General features: G+C 41.7%; 1 protein-coding gene across 2 annotated transcripts in view; it reads left to right on the forward strand.

The window, feature by feature from the left end:
• Positions 1 to 13,011, forward strand: part of PAPPA (pappalysin 1) — a 248,531-nt gene that overhangs the window by 49,480 nt on the left and 186,040 nt on the right. For both annotated transcript variants that reach the window (NM_002581.5, XM_017014784.3), the window contains exons 3-4: positions 4,186 to 4,331; positions 8,369 to 8,662. In NM_002581.5, the coding sequence (NP_002572.2) occupies positions 4,186 to 4,331; positions 8,369 to 8,662 (440 nt within the window). The remainder of the gene's footprint in view (positions 1 to 4,185; positions 4,332 to 8,368; positions 8,663 to 13,011) is intronic.

Consider the following 13,011-nt stretch of genomic DNA (forward strand, 5'->3'; position numbering starts at 1 on the left):
TGACCTTGGGCAAGTAATTCCCTTTCCTTGAGCTCTGGCCTTGCTCATCCTGTTTTGAAACTATGTAATTTGAGAGAGAGGTGCTCAGTAGCTGCCCATCGGTGGTGGTTCTCTCTTGAAGGATACTTTTAAGTGATACGGAGATAATAAAGATTTGGTCCCAACTGCCAGAAGCTCATTACCTGATGGAAAAGACAGATGCTCACACAGTGAATATAACCCAAAGCAGATTGATAAGTACTGGAATTAAAAGTAGGGGGCACAGAGGAAGGAGGACTCATTTTCAGATAGAGGTGATGATGATGATTTGAGTGTTGTTAATAATTTTTGTTTTGCTAACAATAATGCAGTAAAAGGAGCCTATCCTAATCAGTGATGCCTTCTCTGTGCCAGTCACCATGCTAGGCACTTAACCCGTGTTGCCTCTAATCCTTATGATGCCCCTGACAGGTGGTCATCATCATCCCTACTCTACAGATGAGAGTGGTCATAAGAGGATACATGGAGTGCATCACATGTAAGCTGGACTTTGCAGGGTTCATAAGATTTAAAGGGCCAATCATCAGGAAGAAAGATTGCAAGGCAGAGGAGGGAAACTAATGGGCATTCTTAAGGGTTGGGCATAACTGGGGAAAACTAGAGGTTCTCAGAATAAGAAAACCAAGAGAACTTGAGCGGTTGAGGTTGTAGAAGGAAGAAGGCTGGGTAATGAGGAAGAGACACTGAAAGCTGAGACTGGGAGAGCCACGCAGAGGCAGACTGTCAGTTTAGGTTCTTTCCCAGCAGGAGAAAATAGGAGACCAGGATATGGGGGGCTCACATTTTCTAGTTATGTGCTGGGACTGTGCTGAGCTGTCTTATTTAATCCTGTTGGGATCCGCATGAGCTAATTGATACTCAGAGACTTAAACCTACTTGTCCACAGATATAGGTCTATCTGTCCAATTCTGAGTAGCAAAGCTTCTACGCAGATTAAGCCACACAGATTAAGCTACAGATTAATACACACACAGCTTAATCTACAGACTAATACATGCACAGAGTTGGACAGACAACTTGCCCATAGATATAGGTCTATCTGTCCAACTCTGCGTGAGTCTGGGATTTTGATTGATTTTTCTGGGAAGTGAGTAATGTTTGTTTGCTTTTGGTTTTGTTTTAAGAGATGGCCTATTGCTCTATTGCCCAAGTGGGAGTACAGTGGTACAATCATAGCTCACTGCAGCCTTGAACTCCTGGGCCCAAGCAATCCTCCTGTCTCGGCCTCCGAAGTACTGGGACTACAGGCATGTGCCACCATGCCCAGCTAAATTTTTTGAATTTTTTGTAAAGATGGGATCTCCCTGTGTTGCCCAAGCTGATCTCAAACTCCTGGCCTCAAGCATTCCTGCCGCCTTGGCTGCCCAAAGTGCTGGGATTACAAGCATGAGCCACCATGCCCAGCCCTGACATTTTAAAGTACATTTGACCAATTTACGATGTATACACAGGGACAGCCTTCCCAAAAATTGCAAAATGTAAGTCACATGGCCATTTTCCTTCTCTCACCTTCACTATCCCTAGACAGTAATGTTCCTTCTAAATTTGACCTCCTGTGCTTTCTCTTCTATCTTGTTGACAAAAGTGAAAAAAAAAAATCCTTTCAAGGCATAGGGGTAGGGAGGTAAATACCCACATGGACTCCTGTCCCAAAGATTTTCCCCCTGATATATTTGAGAGACACTCAGCCTGGCTCTGTATTAGTGGGAATACCTCGGGCAGCAAAAGGAAAACTTTCATCCACAGAGCTGTGTTGTTGCTTTTTTTTTTTTTCCCCCCTTTGGGTGGGTTCCCCTAGGAGAGGTGGGGAAGAGAGAGGCCTGGATTGCTGCTGTGGAGTCTTCCCCCTTAGGGAAATGGAGGCTTCCCAAAGTATGAAAAAAAAAATCACATACAAGCCATGAAGAGGCTCCCACATCCCACTTCTCTGCTTTGGGCTAGGATGAATACCACTTCTTGAAAAGATTGGCTTCTGCAATTACCACTGAATAAACAACCAATTAAAATGTCTCCCCTGCCCCTACCCCACCCTTTTTCTCTCTTGAAGCTTTCTCATCTCAGAGCTATGGGGCAGAGGTGGCTTTCTCTAATAACATTTGTGTTCTCTGCCTGAGAGAACATTTGATGGAAATGAACAAATCAATTAGAAAATAATAAATTATGTGGAAAGGGCTGATCCAAGAAAATCTCAGCTCCTCTGTGTTTTCATTCTCCTCCCATGCATTGTTTCTCTTTTCACTCTGGGCCTGGGTGAGCTTGGAAATGAGGGTGAGGTTGTGGGAAGGGTTGGACACATCTAGATTTGTACTTGGCCTTGTCTCCAGTTGTGTGATCTCTGAACCCCTCTTCCTTCATCTGTATGATGGCGATAAGTGATAAGAATAGCTAAACATGCACTGAGGCTTTCTACATGCCAGGCATTATTCTAAGCCCTTTACACTCTCTTTATTAACTACCTTAACCCTCTGAACAGCTGTATGGGGTAGGTAGTATTATCACCCTCATTCTTTATATAAAGAAACTGAGGTGCAGGAAGTTAAGTACATTGCCCAGGGTGGCCCAGACATAAAGTGGAAAAGCTGGATTCAAAACCTAGGGCTGTAGCTTAAGAATGAGCCATCTCACCCACTCTGTTGCATTGCTTCAACTACCAAACAGGGATGAGACATGTGTACCTAGCACAGGGTCTGGCATACAGCAAATGCTTAATAAATGTTGGCTGTCTCCTTCCTCGTTCTCTTCCCTGACGACAGAGCAGACTGATTAGAATTCCTCATGAGATTTCCAGCCTAAGAAGTTGAATGTGGGTTCTTGGGGAAGAGAAGGGCTCAGCAGCGAGATTTCAGGTCAATATCTGAGTTTGTGTGGCTATTCTTGGAATTAGTCAGCTACACCTAGACATAAATGTAAGCTCTCCTGGGCCCACCTATCTCCAACTCATGTTTTTTGTGAAAACATGTACAAATTATGGTCACAGGAATGTTTGGTTTCGTGAGCTTGGGGCTTTCTGTGACATGGGCGGCCTTGACACGCTAGATCTCAGACGTATCCTATTCACAGCAGGGTAGAGGTGTAGGTTTTCCACCCATAGAAATGATCTGTGGAGCATCAGGCAGCTGTTACTAATTTCAATGTATTGATAAGGAAACTGAGGCCCCATTAGTCAGGAATTATTGAATTTGAGACTGAGAGTTAAATATTTTTACTCTTACTTTCCCTAATTTAATTCAATTCCATCAAAATCTACTGAGGGCTCACCAGGTATCAAGCTTTGTGCGGAGAACTGGGTAAACAGAGATTAATAAGGCACCTCGCCTTCCCCCAGGTGGCCACAAGTGTGTATTATGTAATAGAAAGAGGAAGCAATTTATTGAAATGGCAAATGAGAGACAGTGCTCTGCTAGTAGGAGGTGGACGAGTATGGAGATGTTAAAAGGGGTGCAGGTGAGGAGAGCATCAGGGAAGTCTTCCTGGAGGAGGGATACCAGAACAGACTTTGGATTTGTTCATTAGAGAACAAAATGCTGATCAGAGTCCCAGCAGAGGAAACAGCATGAATAAAATTGCCAATGGGATAATGCACCGTACAGGGTACAGAGATGTTTTCTGTATGCAGTGGGGTGCTCAAGAAAGGTTGTAGAGATAGATGAGGCTAAGGAGTAGGTTGTGTCTTGGAGGCTATATTGGGAACTTGAACTTTGTCTTTCATACATGGGGAGACCCTTTATTATTCTAAGAGGGGAAGAGCAGGAAACCATCACTAATGTGTGCTACTGGCTGGGCTCTGTGAGAACTCCTTGGGAGAGACAGCATTAAGAAAAAGGAAAACATTGCTAAGTAGCAACTTGAACTTAGTAAGGTATGAAGAAGGTTCTCTAAGCCTCTGGAGATAACGATACTACCTACCTCTGTGTTCATAAGAAGCCTAACAACTTTGGCAAGTCTCTAAAACTCTCGAGAACTTAATTTTATGATCTGTAAAATGGAATCATCTTACTTATAATATTATTGGGGGAATTCAATAAGGTAGTATTTTTAAAGTGCTTAGCAAAATGCCTGGCACTCATAGTAGCTCTAAATTATTTGGAGAGGGCCTGTTATCTTTTTGGGGGCATGATAACAGCCAAGGTTCTTTTTCTGTTTCAGAGCCTACTTGGATGTTAATGAGCTGAAGAACATTCTTAAATTGGATGGATCAACACATCTCAATATTTTCTTTGCAAAATCCTCAGAGGAGGAGTTGGCAGGAGTAGCAACTTGGCCATGGGACAAGGAGGCCCTGATGCACTTAGGTGAGTCTTAGAAACTCCTTCAGGAGGCAACTAGAGTAGGACAGTAATACACTTAGTGCGATGATGATCATTGTTACGATCATGATGGTGGTGGTGGTAGTTGTGAGGGTGAACAACCGATTTATTTATCACTTTTTAATTTACAAAATTCTTTAGCATCCTTTATCTCATTTTGACCACCAAGCAATTTTCTGAAGGAAATAGCACCATATTATTAACCATGTTTTATCAATGGGGAAATGAGACCCAGAGAGGAAATGGGGCTTATCCAACATCACACGCAAGACAGTGACAGTCACAATTGGAATTTAAGTTTCCAACACTGCCCATTGTTTGCTTTCTCCTTATACCCTCTGTCTCCTAGTTCCTGCAAATATCTTCTCAGTCTGGTAACCACACTGTACTGGCACAGCCAGTCATGGGTTGGCTTAAAAGACACCAAAGAGGCAAGAAAAAGTGAGTTTGCAAGAACTCTGTGTTCCTCCATGTTCCACCCACCAACACCAACAGGAACTCTTCTTACATTCAAATTATACATATCCATAAACAAGACATAAGTTTGTACAAACCAATCACCAAAAGTTAGACATGACAACAGTTTCTGAACCAGGCCCTGTAAGCAAACATTGCAGTTCTTTAATTTTATTTTTTCCATGCTCTCTTCCAGGACACATCTATATGTAAACATGCATTTTTTTAACTGTACATTTTTAAAATCATAGCATAGATGAAATTCTGTGTTCTTTTTTCACTTAATATTATGCTATCTACTTTTTTTTCCATGTCGCAGAAGTCTTATCCTTAACTTCCCACCCATATTTTTTTCACTTAATCACAAAAGAAAAGCACCCTTGTGGGTTATTTTCCCCTCTCTAAAGCCAAGATTTTTAATAGCCACATAATATTCCCTTGAACAAGGGCACTGCCATTTATTTAATCATTTTCCGTTTGGTAGAATGTTCCCATTATTTACAAGAATGAATCGTGATGACTCAGTGAACATCTTTATCTGAGAATGTTCAGGCTCAGCAGTGACAGTGCTGGATGTATCCTCAGGCCTGCCTGGTCTCCTGGTGAAACAGAGTCCAGTAGCTTCTCCATTGCTATTCTGTCTTGGAAATGAGAGATTTAAATAATGCAAGTTTTGCTCAATGAAACCATAGACTTAGTTCCCTCCAGACGACTCTCATTTCTCAATTGTTTTTTAGAGAATGAAACCAATTTGTGTGTGTGTGTGTGTGCGTGTGTGTGCATGTGTGTGGTTGTATAAATAAAGATAGATACAAAGATAAATATCTACTTGTTCTCAGCTGGGAGGATTTTATGCCCCAGGAGACATTTGGCAATATCTAGAGATGTTTTTGCTTCTTACAAATGGGGGAATGCTACTGGCATCTAGTGGGTAGAAGCCAGTGATGCTGCTACATGTCCACAATGTCCACTACAAAGAATTATACAGACTAAAAAGTCAATAGTGCTGAGGTTGAGAAATCCTGAGACATATGGTGTATGGGTAGATAGATTGGCAGATAGACAGACACAGACAGGTGGGGTTGGGCAGAAGAGAGCGTGCAGCTTAGGCAAACTTGAAGATGATCAGCTTATATCACATGCCTAGTATGATATATGGGAGTAATGCTAGACTAGAGCCAAAATTCGTGTTTGTTCTCAGCTGTGACTTTACTTAGCAGTATGGCCTTAGGCAATTCTCTTTCCTTCCTCAGGTCTCAATGTCCTTCAATATTAAATAAGCAGGTCCTAGGAGGCCAGAAGACCCTAAGGATCCTTCTCAGTTCTGAAATTCTGTCCTATTAGAAAAGCAACTGAAAGGGCCATGATCAGAGTCTGAGAAGGATTGAGTAGCAGGCTTCTACTGTTAGAAAAAACTACTCCTGATAATTCCATAAATTTCAGAGTCTGGCTCAGGGCCAGGAATAAGGGAGGCTATAAATCCATAGCATGTTATAGTATTTCAGGATGATGTCAGGCTCAAGCTATTTCACCTTTTAAGAGAAGCAATGAAACAGGACTGGGGCCCAAGTGCTGTCACTCTGTGAAAAGGGGTGAGTTGGGAGGGGATGAGGTAAAGCAAACAGGGCTAGCCTAGACATTAAGTCTGCAATCCAATCATCATCCCTGGAATGGTCCTGTCCTCTCATTACCTCAATAATGAAGCTTCATGGAGAGACAGAGAATCATTGGCATTATTGTAGCTGCTTATTTTAGAGCTCACCAGAGATGCAAAGTCCATTTTCCACAGTCACAAGGCCAGTGTGAAGCAGAACAAGGATTGCAACCTATGTCAGCTAACTCCAGCTGGACTCCAGGCTGCCCTCTCCCCATCCCAAGAGATGCTGCTCATGAGTAATTCCTCTGCAGTAGCCCCAATCAAACCCAATTTATTACAACCATATTTTTCCCCTCTTTTTCTGCTATTACACCATGATCCCTGGAAAAAGCCTTGGGTGGGAAGCGGATTATGTTTCATGTTATGATTGACAGAAAATAATTGAGAAAGATTTCCTGTCTCAATTTCTCTTCCTCCCTGCCTCTGCCTGCCCCCTTCTCATACCCAAGTGAATGTGCACACCCGCACACTCACATGCCCTCTCACACATCTTTATCTTTGTGTTAGAAAGCTCTAAGCAATTCAAAATTGCTCAGAAATTCAATCTCTGAAATTAAGTCCTCCAGTGACCCTAACACGGAGACAGAGTCCTTCTTCAAAATCAGAGACCTCTGCATAGACTCTATGAGTCCCTTGACTGAGCAAGCACACCATTCCAGAGGTTCAGTCTAAGATAAAACCCTCCATGCCCATGTGGGGCTTGCCAGCTCAAATCAACAAGACCCTACCTCCTCACCATTCTTTTAGAAGATGCTGCTCTACACCTAAAGTACCTACTTTCAAGGTTCACAGACCTGAGTTTTAACCTTCCCTTAAACATTTTAAAATTTTAAAGTTTAATTATCTCTCTGGCAGCCTGTATGCATCTTTCCAATGCCTAAAATGAACACAGCACAAATACTACCCATAAATTCTGCTGAGATCTGTTCTGTCTATCTGCCCAAGCCAAGCAATTCTCAATCTTCTGAGGCATGTGATATAGACCATTGCTTCTCAAACCAGAATATACAGACAAGTCATTCAAGGCTCATTTTAAAATACAGATTGTGCTTCTGTAGGTCTGGGGTGAGGCCCGAGATTCTGCATTTCTACTAAGCTCTCAGGTGATGATCATGCTGCTTGTCCTCAAGTGATGTACTTGATGTATGGAGGTGCTATTCTAGTTCTCACACTAGATTAGTTAAACCTCACAAACTTCTTTAGATAAGTTAACATTCAGCAAATATTCAACACATATTTAATGAGATACTCTGCTCCAGGCCCTGTGATAGTCATTAATCATAGAACGTTGATTAAGAGTCCTGCTCAAGTGACATTAGCTAGTATGAAAACTGTTACAATGGTGAATACAGCATGGTGCTGACCTTCATTAGCGTTCATGCTCTTACAGCATCAGGGATGAAGATATGAGATTCAGAGATGCTAATTACTCCACTCGATGTCACAGAGTTAGTGAAGGCAAAATGGGAACCAGAACCAAGATCTCTGAGCCTGAGGGCTTTGTCTAGACAAGAATATGTAGAATATTTGGAAATAAGAGTAGGCCTTACTTTGTAAGGGAAAGGTTGCAGCAGAAAGGTTTACTGGCCCAGAAATCAGAGTTTCTGAATTGCTCTCCATTGAAATAATTTGAAATCACCTTGGGTAAGTCCCTTCACCTCTTTAAGCATTGGCGTTTTCATATGAAAAATAAAGGAATTGTACAAAATGACTTTTGAGATTCCTTCCTGCTCTGATAAGTCATGATTCATGCCATAGGTTGTAACAGCTCTCAGGGCAATGGAGTCCTAGGGTGGAGAAGCTTGTGTTTATTTTGGGCAGCATCTCTTTATCCTTGATGGACTTGGGGGTTCTTGCACCAAGAAGCAGAGTACCTAGTTTGCCTGATTCTCTGGATTTCCCCTTACAGGTGGCATTGTCTTGAACCCATCTTTCTATGGCATGCCTGGGCACACCCACACCATGATCCATGAGATTGGTCACAGCCTGGGCCTCTATCACGTCTTCCGAGGCATCTCAGAAATCCAGTCCTGCAGTGACCCCTGCATGGAGACAGAGCCCTCCTTCGAGACTGGAGACCTCTGCAATGATACCAACCCAGCCCCTAAACACAAGTCCTGTGGTGACCCAGGGCCAGGAAATGACACCTGTGGCTTTCATAGCTTCTTCAACACTCCTTACAACAACTTCATGAGCTATGCAGGTAGGGCCCTACACTCTGTAGGGTGAACAGGTCTGGATGTCAGATGTGGGATCCAATCCTGGCTCAGGGGAACCTTGAACAAGCTACTTACCATTTCTAAGGATGGAAGGCCTAGCTCTGCCACTTATCCACCTAATGTCTTTCGGTCATTCTCTTTCTGGGTTTCACTTTTCTCAAGAAAATGGAATTGTTGGACTAGCATCTCCATGATCCTTCCTAAATGTGCAGCACATTTTTCTAAGCTAGTGGTTGTTGAACCTTTTTTATTTAACCCATGTGTCCCTTAGATAAGCATAAAACTCTCACATTCTCTGTTATTTTGCAAGAACAATGAGAGTGCTTTGGACTTTGCAAAGAGAAAATTATGACATGAGATTGAGTATGATTTTTTTTTTCCTAACTGCATATATCTTATCATAGTACTTTTGAGTACCACTAGTAACAGTGTTAGGAGCATTAGGGGATGCCCTGCACTTCCCTTTAGCATGGGATACATCAAGGCCTTGGAGCCCTTTTAGCACCTTTGGCAAATTAGAACAAGACACCCCTTCCTCAGGGCTGTCATAGCCCTTACCACTGCACCTGCAGCTAAGAGTTTTTGTGTTAGTCACAATGCACACAATTGCACATGGCAGGCCAGCATCAAATTCTGTTACCATACTCAACTTAGTGTCTTTTTCCCCACTAGAACAAGCAAATTCTATCAAGCCAAAGATTGCATCTAATACATCACTCTATTCTCAGAAGTCAGCACAGGGGCCAGTGCTTAATAAATGTTTGTTAGGAAAGGAAGAAGTAAAGAAAGAAAGGGAGGAGAGAGGGAGGGCTGGAGGGAAGGAAGGAGGAAAATGAATAAATTCTCTTATAACAGGTATATAAAATTTATTCTTATCAAAAGCAATATTTCTACTCATGTAACAAAATATTGTCCAGAAAGGCCTTTAATATGCTCTCTCTCATTTAATTCTCACAACAAATGTGTAGAGTCAGAACTATCCCCACTCTACAGATGACAGCTTTGAAGCTCACTGAAATCATTTGCACCAAGTCACATATCTGACTCCAAGTATTTTTCTCTTTTACTCTTGTATTTCTTCTAAAGAGAGCTAGCTGATGGTTGAGTGGGGAAATTGAGCAACCTGGGTGGCTTTTACACTCTGTTCCACAGGGATGCTTCAGGGCAACTGCCCTGGTGGCTATATGAGTAGGGCTTTAGGCTCTCATTCCTGCTAAAGCCAGGGAAAACACACCCCCTTTCTGACTATTTTACATTTCTGTTGAGGTTTTGCCTCATTGCATTTGAAGAGAGGAATTTGCTGCTGGAACCCAAAGGTTTCTGTGATCCCCAGTGGTTCTTTCTGCTTGTCCATTTGGGCTGATGACCCCTGGGGGCCTCTCCAGTATAAGGTTCCTGCAGTCCAAATCTGAATTGAAGTGTCAATAACCCACCTCTGGTACCATAAAGAGTCTTAGATTTGAGTGCTCAAAAAAGACCAGGGTGCTGGGTATTTCCTGAAAAGCAGATTCCCACTGGGCTCCCATTCCCAGCCAAGCTGACATCCCACATCCGGTGCCCCATCCCCTCATACAACACTGCTAAAGTTCCATTTCTATAGCACCTTTTCTTGGCCAGCTCAACACACATGGAAAATAAACAATAACATAAGTTTGGAAGTTTGCCGGCCTCTTAGGGGCTAGGAGCTGCCACTAGCTACCAGACCCCCATAAACTAAATCTTTTTTTTTCCCCTTTGTACAGATCTAAAGGGTGATTGATTTACTATTTTTTTTAAAGGAACCCCTCAGCTCAGTGACCCATTAACAGCAGAACTAATTCACTGAGCTACGATAACAAACTTACACCCACAAAAGCATATTCAAGGCAACCACGATCTTTGAAATGTTTGTTTTCCTTGGGATTTCTGATAGATGAGGTGACAAAAGCAGCTGGATGCAATTCAAAATGCAGAACAGGACTGGGTTCTCAGGGCTATGGAGAGCCATGCATGGGAGCTCTCTCCATCAAGATAATTGGGTGAAGACATTGCTGGGTCAACTTCTTCTCGTTGCTTTATCTTCCTGGGTGCTTCTTCCTCAGGCCTGATCACTGGTAGGGTAAAGGTTTGTGGTGCAGCACTGCCAACAGAACTTTCTATGAAGATAGACATAGTTTATATCTGTGTTGGCCAGTATGGTAGCCATGACCTCTACTACCCATGTGGTAACTGAACGATTGAAATACAACTAGTGTGACTAATGACCTGAATTATCAATCTTATTTTAACTAATTTAAATCAGAATAGCCACATGTGGCTGGTGGCTACCATATTGGTTAGCTCAGGCCTGCAGTAATTCTTGAGTACGTGTGACATGCCGGACACTGTATGAAATTTTTCATAGGCTTGTCTCATTGAATCCCCACAGTAGCCCAAGGAGGTGCACAAGTTTTACAGATGCAGAAAATGTGGTTCAGGTAGCTTAAGTATCTTGCCCAGCATCACAAAGATAAAACAAGGCAAAGGTGAAATCTAAACTCAAGTGTTTCTTACTGCAGAGCCTGTGTTACTAACTAGTAAGTATCTGCCTCATTTTCTGGTTGTGGGGAAGGTTGAGAGGGCCACAAATGCTCAGATCAAGCAGGCACCAGGCAGTTGATGGGGGGAAGCCTAATTCAGTAGGCAGGCTGGACAGAGCTCCAGAGGAGTATAGTTATGTTGAACTCTTGGGTAACTCTTGGAAAACTCAACAGATAAAAGAGTAGCAGACCCAGTTCCACTTTCTGGAGATAATAGGCTACAAGAGTTCCTGGAGGAGGACACTCTGGTCCTCAAAACTGCAGGAAGCCAGGCTTTCTCTAGCCTACAGGAGCAAGTGTCCTGTCCCCATCTTTCTGTGTGTCATGGCTTCTTAATATGCACACATAGATTGACCCAGCAATTCCACTTCTAAGGAATATATCCAAAGCAAATAAGTCAATTGGTATGCTTAAAGATTTAACCGTAAGAATGTTCTTAATGATATTTGTTTCCTAAATATTTATTAGGCATTCACTATATGCCAGGTATAGAAAACAAAATGTTTGAATAATTAGAAACTGCTTACAAGCCTAAAGATAATGCATTGCTGAAGTGAACTGCAAGGTATTCATGTGATAGGATATTATAGGGCCACTAAAGATGACAGAGAAGATGTTTGAAGGACATGAACAGAAGTGGAATAACATGGTGGTTCAGAGCATGAAATTTGGAGTGAGGAGACCCAAGTTGAATGTTCGGTGCCCAGCTTTGATCTTCGGCAGTTTACTTCTCCTCTCTGAGCCTCAGTTATTTCATTAATACCATTGATGATAAGGATGCTTGCCTTGCCTGATTGTAGGTGTAATGGTACAAGTGAAGCACTTAGAACTGTTGTTGTTCTAAGTGCCCATTAATAATAGACTGGATAAAGAAAATGTGGTACATATGGAATACTATGCATCCACAAAAAAGAATGAGATTATGTCTTTTTCAGGGACATGGTTGGAGCTGGAAGCCATTGTCCTTAGCAAACTAATGCAAGAATAGAAAACCAAACACCACATGTTCTCACTTATAAGTGGGGGCTAAATGATGAGAACACATGGACACACAGAGGGGAACAACACACACTGGGGTCTATTGAAGTGTGGAGAGTGGTAGGAGGGAGAGGATCAGGAAAAATTGCTAACGGGTACTGGCCTTAATACTTGGGTGATGAAGTAATCTATAGAACAAACTCCCTTGATACAAGTTTACCTATGTAAGAAATCTGCACATGTACTCCTGAACTTAAAATGAAAGTTAAAAAACAAACAAACAAAAAAGAACTGTCCTTGGTATCATAATTAGTGCTCAGTAAATGATGATTAGTAGGATTATTCATTGACTACTTAATGTGAAAAAGGTCAGAAAGCCATATATATAGTGTAAGACCTGTACATATGTATGTGATGATAAGAATTATAGAAATTTACTGTAGATATTTACATCCATATACAAACACATATATATATACATACATATACACACATATACCTTAGACATCAATTTTATTATCTATAGGTAATGAGTTCAGGGTAATGTTTATTTTTTGTAACATTTTGACATATTCCAGATACTCTACAGTGAAGTTTTTATTATAAAATTATTATCTACATCTATTATTATGACTATTATTACTATCATTATTTTTAAAAACATCAAAAAGACAGAGAGTTTCACACAAGGCAACTTAGTTATCCATTCACTAGACATTAGTTAGCTTGTTAAATGCTCTCATCAGCTTTATGAGACAGCTAACATCTTATTCCTCATTTTATGGTGGGTGAAAATG

Source organism: Homo sapiens, chromosome 9, assembly GCF_000001405.40.
Source record: "Homo sapiens chromosome 9, GRCh38.p14 Primary Assembly".
NCBI classification, from domain to species: domain Eukaryota; kingdom Metazoa; phylum Chordata; class Mammalia; order Primates; family Hominidae; genus Homo; species Homo sapiens.